The 18,634-nt window shown below is 43.7% G+C and overlaps 1 protein-coding gene and 1 long non-coding RNA gene across 2 annotated transcripts in view, besides 1 other annotated feature; one reads left to right on the forward strand and one right to left on the reverse strand.

Annotated features, from left to right (window-relative positions):
• The window catches only part of KCNJ6-AS1 (KCNJ6 antisense RNA 1), a 222,067-nt gene that overhangs the window by 163,532 nt on the left and 39,901 nt on the right, over nt 1-18,634 (forward strand). The window contains exon 2 of the long non-coding RNA NR_183540.1: nt 16,388-16,527. This is a non-coding gene — a long non-coding RNA (KCNJ6 antisense RNA 1). The remainder of the gene's footprint in view (nt 1-16,387; nt 16,528-18,634) is intronic.
• Nucleotides 1-18,634, reverse strand: part of KCNJ6 (potassium inwardly rectifying channel subfamily J member 6) — a 309,085-nt gene that overhangs the window by 74,795 nt on the left and 215,656 nt on the right. The window lies entirely within an intron of this gene.
• Nucleotides 227-739: an enhancer, noted in NCBI's record as "H3K4me1 hESC enhancer chr21:39054697-39055209 (GRCh37/hg19 assembly coordinates)". NCBI's record gives its function as "activates a minimal SCP1, AML or CMV promoter by ChIP-STARR-seq in primed H9 embryonic stem cells {active_cell/tissue: H9 hESC(primed)}" and the evidence as "EXISTENCE:reporter gene assay evidence [ECO:0000049][PMID:30033119]".

Here is an 18,634-nt window from a genome sequence, read left to right on the forward strand (position 1 = left end):
AGAACAATAAAAAATCATTCCTTCCCATTTCTGGAGGCCAGAAGTCTGAAATCAGGGTGTCCTCAGGGCTGTGCATACTCTGAAGCCTCTAGAGGAAGGTCCTTTCTTGCTTCTTCTGGCTTCTCAGGGAGTAGTGTTAGCACGTAGGCTGGTCATTTGGAACAAAATGCAAGCTGACTGCCCAGCCGAGCCAGCAGGGTCAAAGAGCTCAGTCTAAAAATTAAACTATTGAAAGCACTACAAGAAAACAAGGGAGCATTATTTTATATTGGTTTTATAGGAATAGAGGAGGCCTTTCCAAGTGTAACGTGGTGGCCCCAGGCATTCCTTTGCTGGTGGCTGCATCACTCCAGTCTCTGCCTCCATCTTCACGTGACCTTCTTCTGTGTGTCTCTTATAAGGGCAATTGTCATTGGATTTAGGGGCCACCAGGATAATCCAGGATGATCTCATCTTGAGACCCCTAACCTAATTACATCCTTATAGGAAAAAGACCGTTTTTCCTATAAGGCCCCATTCATCGGTACTGGGGCCTAGGATGTGGACATATCTTTTTAGTGGTCACCAGTCAACTCACTACAGATGGGTTGGTGCTTAAGCAGTGAGCAGAGTGGTCCTCTGTCCGCCCAGGGGTGTTCCTTGGGGTGGGGCCAATTCTGGGTCCTGCTGCTCATCCCTGGGCCATCTGTCCCTGCAGCCTATTGGGAAGTTCTGCAAATCCAGTGGCCTCCACTAGATCAGGAGTGATGGGGAAGGAACACAGGGCTGCTTCAGGGAGCAGCGGGCTCAGCCCTGCCAGTTAGTGGGGAACCGCGCTTCGGCCAAATCAGAGCTGGAACATTCAAGCCAGCCTTTGTTTTCCCAAGTAAATCCAGCTTGCTTCCATACTGTTTCTCAGTCTCTGGCGTCAAGCGAGGGAAGCATTCCTGGAAAAATATGTCCTCTGAATCATATTACCATCCTGATTTACATTATAATTTCTTCAGCTATGTATTCCCAGAGGGAGGAAATTGGCTACAAGACATCACCAAAAATTCACACATAAGCACAAAGCAAGCCTGAAAGAAAAATCCTATTTGCAGAAAAAGGAGCCAGTGTTGCAAATGTGGCTTCCCCCGTGACAGAAATGGCCCTGGTTACCAGCAAGAGGCAGCAGGGAAGAAGCCCCCCTTTCTGGAGGGATTTTCCAGGTTCTTGCTTTTTTAAAAACAGCATTTAAAGAGAGCAGCTTGAATAAATCCTTCCTCAGGGTTTCCTGGAGTGATCATCTTGTTCCTCCCTTCTCCCCTCCTCCTCCTCTGTCTTCTCTACCCTCTCTTCCTTCTTTAAGCCCACTGGCTTCTTTAGTTTTTATTTGCGCATTGCAGATAACACTTCTCTGCTGAGGACCTCTAGGTGCACTGTCTCTTTAAGGGCCAGAATGGTCTGTTTTCCCTGCTTAACATATTTGTTTGTTCGTTTGCATGAAAAGGGTAGGAAAGACCAAAGCCTGGCAGGGAGGTAGAAAGGAAGACAGGACAGAAGCCAACCCCAAGGGAGTGAGATGCACAGAGTTCCGGTGTGGGGAGCCTGAAGTGGCCCCACAGAGCTGGGGTCTGGACCTGGGGCCAGGCTTCTTTCTTGGTGCGTCCCAGGGGAAGGAGCAATTATGTGAAGTGGCAGAGGGAGAAAGGATCCCTTCTGCAGCGGGGGTGAGCTGGCTTCTCGTCATGCCTACTGCACTGGCTGAGTGGGCAGGAGGCCAGGCATGAATCTTTCTGATGGTCTGAGAGGCACAGTGACCACGTTTGGTGAGCCTGCCCTAAACAGAGGAAAGATGTTCTGTGTCACACCTACTCCAACAACAACTGAACTGGTCTCTAGTAATAAACAAGAAATGATCAAACTGCCCTATAATTGTTGTCTGAGTCTCCTTGGGCTGTCATAACGAAGTATCACAAACAGGTGGCTTGAATGACAGAAATGTATGGTCTCACAGTTCTGGAGGCTGGAAGCTGAGATCCAGGTGTTGGCAGGGTTGGTTCCTCCTGAGGCTGTGAAGGGAGGTCTGGTCCAGGCCTCTCCCCCGGGTTATGGTAGTTGCTGGCGATCTTTGGCTCTTGTTGCATCACCCTGACTTCTGATGTCATCTTCACACGGCCTTCTCCCCGTGCACATGTCTGTGTCCAAATTTCCACTCCATTTTTTTTTTTTATGAGGACACCAGCCACATCGGACTATGGTCTGCTCTTCTCCAGTAGGACCTCATCTAACTTAACTAATTACATCTGCAATGGGCCTATTTCCCAATAAGATCATATTCTTAGGTACTAAGGGTTAGGACTTTACCATATGAATTTTGGGGAACACAAACAGTAATTGTGAAGTGTTATGTTAGCATAGGAAGGTTAGGGGAACTCAGACTGGTATTTGAAACAGTTACCCTAGCCTAAGGTTAGGAATATTATTTGGAAACCATTGTTTTCTTTTGCTAAAGTGGGTGGGATAAAATCAGGAAGTACAAAGCTGAAGACCACTTAAGTCCATGGAGGAAAGCCAGATTATTCGGTGAAAAGTGTTAGGACATCGGCTGGTCTTCCAGCAAACAATGCAAGCTGGCTGCCCAGCCGAGTCAGCGGGGTCAAAGATCTCAGTCTAAAAATTAAACTGTTGAAAGCACTATGAGAAAACAAGGGAGAATGACTTTATGTGAATTTTATAGGAATAGAGAAGGCCTTTCCAAGTATAACATAAAACTGAGATGGCAGAAAGAAACATGTCAATAACTTTCACTACATAAAATAAATATATTTTGCAGGTAAAATACCATTAACAAAAAAATCAATAAGACAAATGACAGACTATGAAAGATATCTGCAAAACATAAAACTGACAAGGGAGTCATTTCCTTTATATAAAGCCAGCCATTACAAATCAACTAGAAAAAAGAAAAAATCAATTAGGAAATGGGCAAAGAGAAGAAAAGGAAACACCAGTAAATATATTGAAAGATGCCCAACTACATGCTAGAAAACACGAATGACACCCGTTTTCACTTATCCTACTGGCAAAGATCAATGAGTTGTTTCTACCCAGTGTGGATGAAAATAGGTAGACAAAGGCGTGCCTGTCTCTGGAGGTAGGATTGGAAATCAAATGATCCTTTGTAGGAGGGCAATTTGGCAATATCTTTAAAAGCAAAATATGCATATCCTCTTTTATCCCATCAATCTCACTTCTAAGAATCTATCCTGGCCGGGTGCAGTGGGTCACGCCTGTAATCCCAGCACTTTGGGAGGCCAAGGCGGGCGGATCACAAGTTCAGGAGATTGAGAACATCCTGGCTAACATGGTGAAACCCCGCCTCTACTAAAAATACAAAAAATTAGCCGGGCGTGGCGCGTATGCCTGTAGTCCCAGCTGCTGGGGAGGCTGAGGCAGGAGAATGGCGTGAACCCAGGATACGGAGCTTTGCAGTGAGCCGAGATTGAGCCACTGCACTCCAGCCTGGGCGACAGAGTGAGACTCTGTCTCCAAAAAAAAAAAAAAAAAAAAAAAAAAATCTATCCTATGGATATCAGAGGTTTACTGCACTGTTATTTGTAACAAAAAAAGTAGAAAGCTGTCTATAATATTCTCTAGAGCACTAGTTATAGAAATGATCGTATGTCCATCAAATAAAGTATTATTTTGCAATTTAAAAAGAACAAGTTAATGTGTTAATAAAGATTTGTGGTATATGTTAAATTAATAAAAAGCAGTTGACCATATACAAAATCATCCACTTCCATTTGTGTAACACAATAGGAATATGTATGAATACATGTTACAATATACCTGAAGAGGCATAGAACGTTTCCAGAAAGGCACCCAAGTGACAGTGAGCACGGCTTCTATCCAAGCAGAGGGACTGCAGAACAGAGGATGGAAAGGGATGTATTTTTCATTATCTATCCTTTATACCATTTGAATGTCTTATCCTGTGCAAGCATTACTTTTAATGTAAAAACACCCAAATTAAAATTTAAAAAATGAGGAACAGAAGATTAATCCTTCTCTGTGGACAAAGAAGGATTTGCTGTGGGGTACTCATACGTGCTCTCTTGATACCCGGTTGAGGAGGGGGACAGGTGAAATCTAATTTCTTTAGACTGAAGCAGATGGAGGGAGACTCATCACTCCAGTCCAACTGGCTGTGAAGGTGGAGGAAGCTAGTGTCTGGGAAGGAGAGAATGCCTATGATTGAAAAAATATGTGTTGAAGTTGGTGTTTATAGTTTGCAACCTCCACGCATTCACTCTCCCGGGTGAAGTCTTTTTTTTTTTTTTTTTTTTTTTTGGAGATGGAGTCTTGCTCTGTTGCCCAGGCTGGAGTGCAGTGGTGCGATCTCGGCTCACTGCAATCTCCGCCTCCTGGGTTCAAGTGATTCTCCTGTCTCAGCCTCCTGAGTAGCTGGGATTACAGGCACCCACCATCATGCCTGGCTAATTTTTGTATTTTTGTAGAGACGGGGTTTCAGCATGTTGGCCAGGCTGGTCTTGAACTCCTGACCTCAGGTGATCTGCCCACCCTGGCCTCCCAAAGTGCTGGGATTACAGGCGTGAGCCACCGCGCCCAGCCTCTGTGTGAAGTCTTAATCGGGACACGGGTGGAGACAGGGACCTGTGCATTTATTTGGTCATGGCCTCAAATTCACATGCAGCAGGTGTCAGGATGTAGGCTTGACAGGAAGGAAGGCAGGGGTTGAAAAAATGGAGGGTGGGCAGAGGTGGGGTGGGCTGGGACAAAACCCAGAGAGCACTCTTCTTAAAGGCAGGCAAATTCAGACTTGCAATACACATTCTGCTGAACGAAGCTAATTTCTGAGGAAAGTGAGGCCCAGAGTGGTTAAGTGATTCATGATGGTATCAGGGAGGGCCCTGAGGGTTCTGATCACTCCCAGCACTTGATCCAAAGGCCCCAGGCCCTTGGAGGCATTTCAGTGGCTGGCTTGGGTTAAAACTGCATGACAGGCGCCTCTTAACCTGGGCCTCTTGGGCCTGGAAAATTGGCTGCTGGAAGGGAGAAAGGCTAAGGGTAGCGTCCCAGCCGGTATCTCAGCAACGCGGGGTTACAGGCCGCAGGATGAGTGCTCCAGCTGACCCAGACTCACCACTTTTCAGTTGTCATGCAAGCAAGCAAACACTTCCCAATTCCAGGCCAGAAATCTTTCTAAACTGTGGCAGCCGCTTCCCTTTCTTCACAAGCAGACGGCACTGGGTATAATTTAAGCTTTTTCTTCATGTCTCCGTGCCATCTTGCTGAAACATCAGCTACTGTTCTGTCCTTCAATGCAGACCTGGCCTCAGGAGATTGTAAGGTGGGTAGAAACATTGGCTTTTCTCATAAAGGATTCCAGACAGTGACGTGTTTGGGCTTTTTTTCTTTGATTTATAGCTCTGGGCTTTTTTTCCATTCACTGTCAGACTTGCCTCTTGTTGCTCTCAATGTGCCTGTTTTATAGCAAATCCATCTCCTCCCTTTATTTGCTGCTTTGGTCTCCTCTGGTCTGGGAGACCAGTCAGCTCTGAGCTTGTTAGGATTTCTTATTAGAAAAACAATAAATAAAAAGGACACACCTCTGCTTAGCTTCCAGCATCGGTCTTAGATGCTGGGATGGACTGCACGGGCATTGTGGCATCTTCTGTGATTGCATTTCTCCCCTCAGTTTGGAGTTCTTAGTTGTATTCTAGAGTCTAGATGGATAAAGTTGCTAGATAAACAAGTGCCAGATGATGGAATGGTTTCTTTGTTCTACCAATAGCATATTCAATAACTGTGGATGATTTAAAGTGTTTTTGTTCACTGAGTCCTACCATCTGAGATGGAAGGTGTCCTTCTTATCTGACCTGTTTTAGGCATAAAACACATGAATGAGAAATAGAGAACTCTCTATTTCTATAGCTGATTTTTAAAGAGCTTGGCAGACAGGTGTTTCTTCTTCTTTATTTTTCTCTTATAAGGATAATTTTAGAGCAAAACTGTTCTAACATATTTGAATTATATGTGATGGGATTCCCAGCTCATCTCATTCAAATTCAACCTAAAAAAGAAGCATTACCTGCTAATTCCTTATTAGTAAGCACTTTTTCTAACTTGACATTTTTAGATGTTTGAACCATCTGTCATTTTACAGGCAAATGGAACCTCTTGAGTACTAGAGATACACCCGTATTTTAAAAGCATTTTTTTTTTAAAAAATCTACTACATTCTAGATTCTATGCTATGTTTTTTTTTATCATCTAATTTAATAATCATTGAAACCTAGCCAGGCAGGAATCTCATCAGATAAAGAATATGAGGTCCAGGGAAATCAGATCAGTCAGTCAAGGACACAGCTAATGAGCAGGAGGGACAGGGCATGAGTGAAAGGGCTCTGGACACAAGTCCAGGGCTTTTCCTAGTGAGCCTAACCTTCGTTTTTCAGCTTAATGGGATGTGTGACACAACCCACTGTTGGCCAGGCTTATTCTGTGATATCGGACTCAATGACCCAAGGGGTGGGGGAGAGGGGTGCAGATGCCAGATAAGGCACCAGAGATTATTCACTTATGAGACATGTCTTCCATGATGGTTGGTTGGAACCCAGACTTAGGTGCCTAGTAAGTATTAATATTTTTCTCTTAGTTGTACTATTTTGAAAAACTTACTAGACACAAGGACATGATGAAAGTGTTGGCTGAAGTATCACATCCAAAGAGGGGATGATGGCAGTCAAATGGAACAGGTTTGAATATGTTTCATGAATATAATTCTATTGTAGTAGAGATACATTTAGATATATGTATTGTAGATATACACCAAAGGTGCATATATCATTGGTGATATAAATCACCATATATCGTTGGTGATAAATCAAAGGTGATATAAATCAATGGATATCTGAATGATGTATGTATATGTATAATATATCTCTATTCTCTCTGTTCCTCTATCTATTGAAGTGCAGGAGGAAATGAGAAGTCCCATTACAGGAAAGCTTGCAGAGTCTACAGCTTTTCAAAAGCAGTCACTTTCTGGTGGACAGAGCCCTAGTAATGAAGAAAATGGTGCTCTCCACCCTCCACCATACTTAGTGAGATGAAATTTTGACTAATTGCTCTGCAATCACTTCAAAATCCATACATACTAAAAAGTCTGATGGAATGGATAAAGAAGTGTCACTTGGAAGCAAATTCATAAGCAAAGTATATTTTCTTTTTCTTCTTACTTCCCCCTTTCAGTGGTTTCCATCTTGTTTTCCTCTGACCTTTTAAGGGGCTCACTGTTCTCATCCTGTCTCTTTGTTATCAGAGCCTCCCAATAGAGGAGAGTTACAGTTCAGGTCGAACATTCACGGCATGACTTATCTGTCCATCTATCTAACCACAGTCCTCATTCTTAATACATACTAGGCACTCAGTAAATTTCTATCTTCTCTCTCTTCCTTCCTCTCTCCATTCATTCCTGCCAAGAATTAACAATCTATTGGTGAGAAGAAACCAATTACCACTGAGTATCAGACAAATGACATGTCATGCCGGGCTATGTTTATGTTGAAACTCATGGCCCACCGTGAAAGAAAAGGGTTAGTCTCTTAACACATGAAGTATTGGGAGATGAGTGCAAGGGACGTGGTGGGCTGGGACTTTCACCCACACCATTGCTTCCTATCAGGGAAGCAGTAGTGTCTCCCTGTCAACTAGATGGCTTGGGTCTCAGGCAGAGTCAAAAGTTGGGTCTCACATGGCCAAGACACCAACTCACAGATTCTCCATTAATGACCCCCACTCCTGCATTCGTAGGGAATTTAATTTTAGATAAATTATTTCAAAAAATAGAAATACTCTTATCCCTCTGCAATAAACTACAGATTATCCTTATAAAAATCCTTTCTTTCTCAGTATAAGATTATGCAATTAAAATTGTTTGATTGAAATTGTTTGATTGACATATGATATAATTATTTCAAAATATCTATATATTTGATAAATTACCAGTGACTATGCTTCTTCATGTCATCATTATGAACTACTCAATGTTCAAAGGTTTATCATTTTCCATGTAATTATTTTTACATTCAAGGCTTTCTACTCTATAGCATGAACCTGACAATAACGATTCCTCCTTGAATCTGTATTGAAGTTTATAAAGCTTCAAGGACTTGTCAATGATACATAAAAAGTTAATTAAAATCATTCAAGGACTGCCTACCATAAGACTTGCAATAAACTGTCTGTTTGCATTGAAATGATGGGGTGCTCTGTGGGGTAGATTTTCACCTCCAGCCAATGTCTACTGTGGAGCTGCATGCTTGCATTTGTAATGGGCATTGCTGGGATAAAAGGTCTCAGCTGTGACAGTCTTAGGAAACCTCAGGATTTTTCAATTTTCCAAAGGCCTAAGAGTATTTTCTTGAAATTTCGGCATGGTGCCACAGCTACCAACCATGACACCTGGCTCAGTGAATATCTATGGCCACAGCCAGGGCACAAATGTGAATTTTAAAAATTCCACAAAGCCCCTCCTTTTCCAAACAGAAATTGGACATAAATATTCGTACATCAAAGTAACATATTAATGGGTGATACTTCAGGTTACTTCTTTTTTCTTTTCTTTTTTTTTTTTTTTTGAGATAGAGTCTTGCTCTGTTGCCCAGGCTGGAGTGCAGTGGCGTGATCTTGGCTCACTGCAACCTCTGCTTCCTACCGGGATCAAGCAATTCTCTTCCTCAGTCTCCTGAGTAGCTGGGATTGCAGGCATCTGCCACCATACCCGGCTAAGTTTGGTATTTTTAGAAGAGACCAAGGTTTCACCATCTTGGCCAGGCTGGTCTTGAACTCCCAACCTCGTGATCCACCTGCCTCAGCCTCCTAAAGTGCTGGGATTACAGGCATGAGCCACCGTACCTGGCCCAGGTTACTTTTTCAATTCCAAGCTAAGCAAGCTTAGGTCACACCTTTGAGGAATAAGGACAGAGACAGATAATTGAATTGTGTGGGGCTGAGAGTGCAGGGTTTCCAACCCCTGAAGCCACTGCAAGGGCAGATGGCCAGGTATGGCTAGGACAACAATTTCCTGGCACCCCTAGGCTCAGGTGTAGGGGGGCCTCTGTCAGGACCTCTAAGGATTCCCACAGGGTCTTCATTTACTAGACTGGAAGTGAGAGACATCTCCCTCCCCTCCCTTATTGGGGGCTGTGATGCTCCCAAATCTTAACTTTCTGATGATTTATCTTCAATGAGGGTGAAGTGCTGGGCATTTTGACACCCTCCCAGCCTGCTTGGCACAGCCTGCTCAGAGCTCTGGCAGCTCTTGTTGGAAGGTGGGAACTATTGACACCTATTGAATGGGAGCATCAGCTGAGACCGACTTCTAAGGAGTTCCTCTGAGGTGTCCCGTATCTTCCTGATTCACAGTTTGGCTTCTGGCTAGAATGGTTTCCAGGAACATCTTCAGCCACTGCTCAGTGATTACGGTCTCTGTTCTAGCTTTGCTCAGTTTTTGGCAAATCCAAAATCTGATTTTGGATATGACAGTGGGATATAGTGAGACATGGTTGGAGGCCACTCGGCAGGGGTGGAATCTGTGTGAGTAACCGCGCACCTGTGCTCACAGGAAAGCACAGCCGTTAGAACTCCTTAGACCCTGCAGGCAGGCCCCGCTAAGTTAAATAGTGACAGGGACATGAACATATTCATTCAATGTGCTTTTGCTATGATCCACCACTCTGGATCAAACATATTTTTTGAGACGTTTTGCTGTATAATTAAAAAAAAGGTTTCTCTAACCTCAGCTGATGGCCCATTTATTTCAAGCAGTTTGGGATGTCGTGGCATTCCAGCACTTAGTCATTTGGGGTTTGAGGCAGTGGAATTTGATATGTGTGTCCATTTCCATGGATTGCATTAGGACAAATACTTAATGCATGCGGGGCTTAAAACCTAGATGACAGGTTGATGGGCGCAACAAACCACCATGGCACATGTATACCTATGTAACAAAGCTGCATGTTCTGCACAAGTATCCCAGAACTTAAAGTAAAAACAAAAACCAAAAAATCCCAAAAAACAAAAAACGTAGAGTGGCAGACAAATTCCCATTTAATATTTGTGTTTCAACTGCCTCTCCCTTTACCCTTGAGAAAAAAAGGCAATGCATTTTTTTTTTCCTTCAGAATAATTTCCAAGGAGCAGCATTAGGGGTGTGAATGGTACTTAAAGTGTGTGGATTTAAAGTAGACAGAAGAATCAATATATTCTCCTCAGCAGTGCCAGTCCCAGCTCCCACACTGATCTGCTGTAAGGATGTTGCCTCTATCCCAAGCCCCATTTTAGTGCAACAATTTGGAAACTGACGGGAATGTGGGGGGCCAATAGGAACCGTGTCTTGATTAGACATGTGCTGGCCTGAGAGACAACATTCTCTTCTGCCAGGATGTTGGGGCCCAATGGTTGGGGCCTTCCTGCTCTCTGAAATAGAGTTTAGGTTCTGGCTTTGGAGTGAATCAGGAAAATGGCAGAACCCTTCAAATTCACTTTCAAAGAGACATAGAATATTGACAATGTGACATTCTCTAACAAACAAAATGTTTCCATTGATAACCACAAATTACTCAGCGATCTGCCAAGGAACCATTGATTTAGCCCAAATTTCTAAGGCCACTCCCCTCACCTAAATGGTTATTTCATTAAACTTAGAGCGAAAGGGTAGCATTAGATATGCTAAGCTTTACTCTTAACATAGATACCAAGAAGGGACAGTTTTTGACGCAAATCTTTATTTGGGTTGACAAGAGCCACAAAGAAACTCATTCTGTAAGTGAGCTTCTACAAAGTGTCACTAGTGACTGCCGCACCCTGTGTATGTTCCATCATGTTTTCAAGCTTTTATTAAAAATGGTTAATGGGTAGAGGGAAACATCCCTCTATTTTGACAGCAGGAAATTAAAAACATGAATCCAACTTGGAAATCCATCAGATGACCTGTTTAAATGTCTTAATTTTTCGAGATAGATGGTACCAAGTGCTATGTTTTCTTGCCACTTGAAGGTAGAACTGATGTTTTAGGCAACATCCAAGCAATGTCTCGTTCAATGCCCACATAAGCAAGACTGTAAGTTCTGCCATCTCTTGATTCACATCACCATTTGGAGGATGGGAGTCTTAAATTTCTCTGTCACAAGGAGGGGCCCAGGGATTGGCTGAGTTGCAGAATGAAGGAGTATGCAGGAATGAACCACGGCGGATGAGTCCATAAGACAGAATCCTGGAGGAGAACCAGGAAATCAAACCCTCAAGGTGGGCTGTGTGGATCTGGGACAAGCCGGGAGAGAAGCAGGGGCCACCGTACGCCCCTTGGGCCTCTCTAGCAGGCAGGTGCTCGCCCCTGAGAACCTAGATCCTCTCAGACGAGAGTGGGCAGGAAGAGAGGTGGGAGGGGTGGGGGGATACAACATAGTGAAAATTTAAAAAATTGATACGTGATTTTGGGATAAAAGCAGAAACACTATTGGATGAGCTAGAACAGAGCTCCCCAGGCCCACAGACAAATGGTCTAATAGATTAAATGGTAACACTTTGATAATCATTATAAAGAAGTTTTTCATAGAACTGTTACCTTTTGGTAGTCTGGCTTCCTCATGCCCTCCCTCCAGCGGTACCCACTTTCTTCCCTCAACCTGAACTCATTCCTGCAGAAATACTTTTCACGCTTTTCATTTCTTCCATGTGCCCACTATCTTCATTCAATTATTTACCATTTTTTTTTTAAAAAAAACAAACATTGGAACAAATATAATAAAACTTCTTTACATTGATTATCTAAACATTGACATTTAATCCCCTAGCCTTTTTGTCTAACAGTTTTGTGTTGTGCCAGCCACCGGGCAAATGGTGCCTTCCTGCCAGAGGGGCGTGGGAAGTAAGAAAGTGCTGAGAAGGTTCTGGAGGGAGAAAGGCCCCTCCTGGGACAGAGGTGGTGTTCCCCACACTGCAGCCTCAGATACCTGTGGGCCCTGAGTTTTCCTGAAGGCACTTTCTGCTGCTGTGGAGGTGACGATTGGACCCATGGATGGCCGGCTGTGTGTTTATCTTAGTGCTTCTCACCAGGACAGCCTCCCATCACCTTCACTCAGACCCTTGACCTCCTCCACCTTGATGGTTCTTTTAGCGAGGACAAGCTCACACGTTCAAATAGAGAAGGGGCATGGCCAGCTTTGGAGAAAGAGTACTGTTAGCATTTTTGGTATCTTTCAATACTGCCTGACTGTGGAATAAGAAGCCACATTTTACATATAGGGATTTTGCCTTACATAACTTTAGATAAAGCACCATTGATCAAGCTACATGTGTGGCCCTTACAACATTTTAGTCTGCAAAAAGTCAGGTTCTCTATTCCAGGTGTCAGCGGTGTGTCGGGGAACTTATGTGGAGGCTACAGACTTTTAGTGATGATGAAAACATTGTGTCCCTTTATTATTGCTCTGATTTGGTCCAAGAAGAATAGAAGTACTTTGCGTAATGTCATGGACTGAATTGTGCACCCCCCAAGTTCCTATGCTGAAGCCCTAACTCCCAATGTGACTGTACTTAGAGGAGGTCCCAAAGGTGAAACGTCCCACTGTCTACTCATTGTATTGTATCAGGTGGGGAACCTGATCCAGTAGTTCCAGAAGAGACACAAAAGAGGGCTCCTTCTCTCTGTGCCTGCACAGAGGAAAGGCCCCGTGAAGATAGAGTGGGAAGGCCTTCATGCTAGGAAGAAGGCCCTCACCAGGAACCCAAGCTACCTCTATCTGGGACTTCCAGCCTCCAGACTGTTAGTAAATAAATATCTGTTGTTTAAGCTGCCTAGCCTATGATATTTTGTTATGGCAGCCTGAGCTGACTAATATACACAGCATATAACACAGCCAATTTCAGGGGTGGTGCTATGGAGAGAGTAGCCCCTAGGGTAGGGACCTAAAAAGCACCAGGAATGAAGTGAGCATGCACACCATAATGATGCACAATCTTGCTGCATGCCCAATAAATTTGATTCCAGGCATTGTTGCAACCACAAGGGAGACCTGGCTTGTTACAGAACTTAACAGTGTCCATCCCATAAAAGGAAATCAATGGCTAAGCAAAAGTCCAACTATTCTTAGTGCTGTGACATGAAGAAATTTCCCCAGAGAGTTTGCAACAAGGCAGCTGGTGGGGAAGTTAACACCACCTTCTAGCAGACACAGGGTCAGTTTCACAGGGCTGGTTTTTACATTATGCAGCTCAATAAAAGTAGTGGGCTTCTAAGTGTAGGGTGGCTCTTTGATCCTCCTGCAGGTGTTAAGAGCTGGGTCTGAGACTTCTGGAAGAATGCAGGAGCTGTGACTTTATGCAGACCTCCCTACATGTTTTCACTCCAGATCAACATGCTGGTAAGTATTGGAGTGAGGAGCTTGGGATTTCTCCCTGACAGTTTCTGGAAGGCAGTGTTTTTGAGCTATGAGTTTAGTTCAGATACGTGTACTTAGCAGCCAGTTAAGCTGGGCTAGAACCGACCTCTTTTGTAAATGGAGGGACCTGGTATGAATATCTTCTCGGTACACCAAGTGCCTATGTCTTGGCTTCTAAAGACCATTCCCTAGTAAAAGGAACAAGGAATCTTTGGAGAAATGTCTGACTCCAGAGCTGGAGCTGAAAAAGTCCAAGGTGAGCCTGTAACATCTTTTTGTGCCAGAAAAAAGGAAGAACACACAAAATGATTATGTTCAAAGGGCAAAGAGCCACTAGAAAGGGATCCCACTGGCCAGATCTGGGATAATGTGAGCATCACAAATAATATCAGTAGCAGATTATAACTCATTGAATACAAGAGGAATCCATGAATCCATACTGATATAGATAGATCAATAGATAACTAAGGGAGGGGAAAAGCTCTTCCTTATAGCTGAAAGAGAACACATCAATGTAGAAAGAACCATGCATTCAGAGGTAACCATCGTAGAAATAACCGATTCAGGTTAGAATTATCGATGAATGCTAAAAGCAAAGTTTGAGGAGGAATAAGATATTTACATGGCCTCAAAGTAACTGCTCTGAGATACTTCTTACAAGGTGAAAACTAGTAATTTTAAAGTTAAGAAACCTGGCAGACACCACCTGAGCCAGAGATAGAAGTTAACATCATTCAAATTAGGAAAAGCTGACCTTATGTGCCTCCTGATATAATGCACTGGGAGGGACACAGCACCACTTTGTATTCTTGCCCCACAGACATAACCTAAATCTAATCATGAAAAGAACATTAAAAACCTTAAGTTGAGGCACATGCTACAAAATAACTGCTCTATAGTCTTCAAAAAATTAATGTCATGAAAGATAAGGAAAGACAGAAGAATTCCACTAGATAATATGAGATTGAGAGACATGACAACAAAGTACGACCTGGGATTTCCTAGAATATAAGAAGAAATGGTTGGAAAAATTGGCAAAATCTGAATCAAGTCTGCAGATGCTACTATATCAGATTAGATATAGTAGCATTATGTCAATATGCATTTTCTGATTTTGAAAATCACACTGTGGTTTTGTAAGACTGTCTTCACTTTTACATAACTGCATCATGCCTACAGTTTACTTTCAAATGATTAAAAAAACTCACATGTATACATGCATTCACACATACATCTACATGTGTGTCTATATCTAGAGAGAATGATAGATGTGGTAAAATGTGGAAGATCATTCCTTCTGCCCCTAGCTCCTGAGGTAGCATGGCGAACAGGATCAATTTCATGATCTGAAATGAGTTAGCTGTGTTGAGCTTTTGTAGCCAGATTCACTCATCAAATTGTCCTCAATGAACTCTCCTGTGGTTTGGATCCACAGTCAGGCCAAGAGGTATCTTGACAGGCTCCCTAAATTGTCACCAACAGGTGCTGTGGTCTTCATGTGCTCAGCATGGTGCCAAGGGGAGGAGGGAGCGAGAAGACCATAAGACGATTGTTTGACCACCGTGTGGCTTAATTCTGCCTGGAGAAATGTCATTGACATGGGGGAAGTAGGAAACAGAACAGGGGCCAATGGGGTGCTCCCCTTGCTGGGGAGAGCTAAACTGGTTTGAGGAGGGAGCACAGGATTGGCTGAACCCTGTGAGGCCTCATGGAAGAGGCAGAGCTTGCTTGGACCTTACAGGGTGTGAAGAATTTCGATTGGCTGGGGGAAAGGAGCCATAGAAAGTGGGGTGGGAAAGACAGAGAACAAAGCAAGCCGGGAAGAACCTGAGTATTCCCAATGTGTGTTTTCCAGGGAAAATCCATTCTAGAAGAAAACGACTTTGAGTTGAGAAATTTCATATGTGCTACTGGTACTCAAGCGTTTGTTGCAATTATTCTGATCCAAGGTCCTGCCTATCAGCTGGATAGGAATTAAGCCAAACCACATCTTAGGGTCTTTGTGAGGGCTTCCCACCAACCACATTTGGTTGGTTTGGTGATGAGAAAGTTCAAACAATATTCCTTGGGGGCCATGTTGGCAATAGTTGATCTGTGTGATTGGATGCATTTTCAAAGAGTTTGTTAATGGTGCCTTTCTGCATAGACAGTGTTCCACAATCGCCTGAGAGAGGATAAGGTTGTGTGGTGTGGATGTGTGATTTATATTTGTTGATGGTACATTATTCTAAGTTACACTCAGTCTCCTAGGCAAATAGGGGTGGGAGAGAGAGGAGTTTGCACAAAGAGAGTCTCTTTTGGAGTGGGTGGAGTTTGGGACCTTTAACGTTCAAATGCATTTATGATAAGAATAAATGTCGGTGTGAGGAGTTGGGACACTTTAAGTAGTGGGAGTACTTTTCACCCAAAGAAAGACAGAGCAAGCCCAAAAGGAAATGGGGGCATTGGTGCAAACACTCGTTAAACAAAGACACTCATGCTCTTTTATCATTTTCTTTGAAAACAGAATGTTAATAATAGTACTGTTTACTGCGGGATCTCTGCTTTTGAACAGAAGTTCAATTTTATCTTCCTCCCAAAGGTCAGGAAACCTCATCTCCCCCTTATTTTCTCATCCAGGGAGAATGCAAATGCAAATACACATGCAAATGATCTCATCTCCTCATGGACTGTGGCCACTTCTGCCTGTCCAGGAGAAATGGATGCTGGCTGCCCTGCTTCTCCAGGCGGGGGCTGCCCTTGCTGCATCCTGGCAGTGATGATGCGGTGCCCACTCGAAGAGCGGTTCTGGCTGGGAGTGCGGGAGGGGGGCTCATGGTCTTCCTGCTGTTCCCCTCCTCATCGAAAATGTTTTCTTATGTATATGATTCCATTCCATATTGTATTGTAATTTGTTTTTATGTGAGGAAAGAATTAAAAATAGTTTTGACTTTTGTTGTTGTTGTTTGAGACAGGATCTCGCTCTGTTGCCCAGGCTAGAGTGCAGTGGCACCATCATAGCTCACTGCAGCCTTTCGACCTCCTGGACTCAGCTGATCCTCCTGCCCCAGCCTCTCTAGTAGCTGAGACCACAAACGAGCGCCACCATGCCCAGGTAATTTTTTTTTTTTTTTTGAGACAGAGTCTTGCTCTGTCACCCAGGATGGAGTGCAGTGGCACGATCTTGGCTTACTGTAATCTTTACCTTCAGGGTTCAAATGATTCTCATGCCTCAGCCTCCTGAGTAGCTGGGATTATATGTGTGTGCCACCACGCTTGGCTAATTTTTTTGTATTTTTAGTAGAGATGGGGTTTCACCATCTTGGCCAGGCTGGTCTTGAACTCCTGGGCTCAAGCCATCCTCCTGCCTTGGCCTCCCAAAGTACTGGGATTTCAGGTGTAAGCCACGGCACCTGGCTAATTTTGCCATTTTAAAATGGTTAAAAAAAAATCCAAAGTGAAGAATAATACTTTATGACATGTGAAAATGATATGTGTCCATAAACACAATTTATGGCAGAGTTGAGCTGTTGTGACGGAGACTATCCACAAACCCTGAAATATTTACAATCTGGCCTTTTACAGGAAATTCTTTGCTTAATCCTTGCTCTAAAATACCAGTTCCGTAAGGGCAGGACTTTGTCCTTTTTATCTTTGTACAATGCCAGGCACATGGAAGGTTCTGGAAGGTCTTTGCCTGCAGATTGAGTACACCTCAGCTTCGGCCCCCTTGCCTGTTGAGTTTTTACCTTTCAAAAGGCCTTTTGCATAGTTTTGGAGGCTCATCCTTCCCACTCCTCCTCTATTACTGCAGGGGGAAGGGATACTTAGGGATAGAGCATTTTTTATTGATATGGATACCTCATATTCATATTAATTAGAAACTTCTGGAAAGCGATCACCCTTCCCATGTTTTGCTCTTCTGAGAGCCAGCTTGTTCCTCTGGCAGAGGGGAGGAGATTTGCCAGGGAAATCGGATAACATCAAAGGGAGTCCCTGAGCATGTAATTAGGTAGCATGAAAGCCTTGGGGCATGGCTGCTCTTGGAGTCCAATCTCCTGGCCTTGGAGAGTCTCTGTTGGACTAGACCCACTTTAAAAAGGGGCACAGGGATATTCCTAGTTGGCAGAGTCTCTTGAGTCTCTTGTGTGATTTTGAGACTGAAATCTGGGGACAAGTTTGCTTTTTGGATGTCCGCTTTAAACTCTCTGTATTTATGTCAGATGGAGTTTATAAGATGTGTGGTGAATACTGGGTGGGAGGGGAACCTATAGAATAGACTCTTAGTAAAATGTGTCTTTAATTTTTACATTAAATGACATGACAGCCTTCATAGGGAAGCCAGATGTTGCCCACAACTGGTAGAGCCCAGATTACATAGCGTCCGGTGGAAAGGAAACTCTTGAGGGTCTGAGACATATTTAGAAAGGCCACACCTTATTTTTAGAAAAATCATTTATTTTTTTCATCCTTTTTATTGAGCACTGACCATGTGCCAGATTGTGTTACTTTCTGGGAACAGAAAAAAAAAAGGCATAATCTTTATCCTCAAAAGTGTAGTCTGTTGAGGACACCCACATGTGGTCAGTCACCCATGAAACATCATGGAGATTTGCAGAAACTCAGCAGAAGCAGAGGGAGGACTTTTGAGAAAGGTTCCATAGGGGTGGCATTTGCAGGGAGATTTGTGGGCAGGAGTTATTGGAAAGGTAATGGAAAAGGGTATCCTAGGCAGAGACGATGTCACAGCACATGTGCAGGCCAGGGTTGAAATAATCCATGGCATATTCAGGAACGTCTGCAGCCTATGGAGGTAGTGGGGCAAAGGACAGGACACCTGGAGAGGTGCCATGTCTGTGACAGGCAAAGGTGGTTGGTCTCTATTCTCTAGCTCCTCAGAAGCTATTGAGAATCTCTGAACCGGGGAGTTGAGGGGATGAGATTTTTATGTTACAAAGTTTATTCTGACAATGATGAGGAAGGGAATTGCAAAAACGAGAGACTACATTTAGGGAGATCAGTATGGAGCATGGTAATGGTCCAGCAGGAGGGCTTGGTGGCATGAACCAGGGCAGCGGCCAAGCCCCTGAGAGGAAAGGATGTTTGGGTACTAGAGACAGGTACAAGATGGAATGGACAAGCTTAGCCAGGGCCGCCTCATATGGTTGTGCAGGATGTACACTGCACAACTCACCACATCTTAGGGGTACAGCTATATAGAC

This window comes from Homo sapiens, chromosome 21 (genome assembly GCF_000001405.40).
Source record: "Homo sapiens chromosome 21, GRCh38.p14 Primary Assembly".
Taxonomy (NCBI): Eukaryota; Metazoa; Chordata; class Mammalia; order Primates; family Hominidae; genus Homo; species Homo sapiens.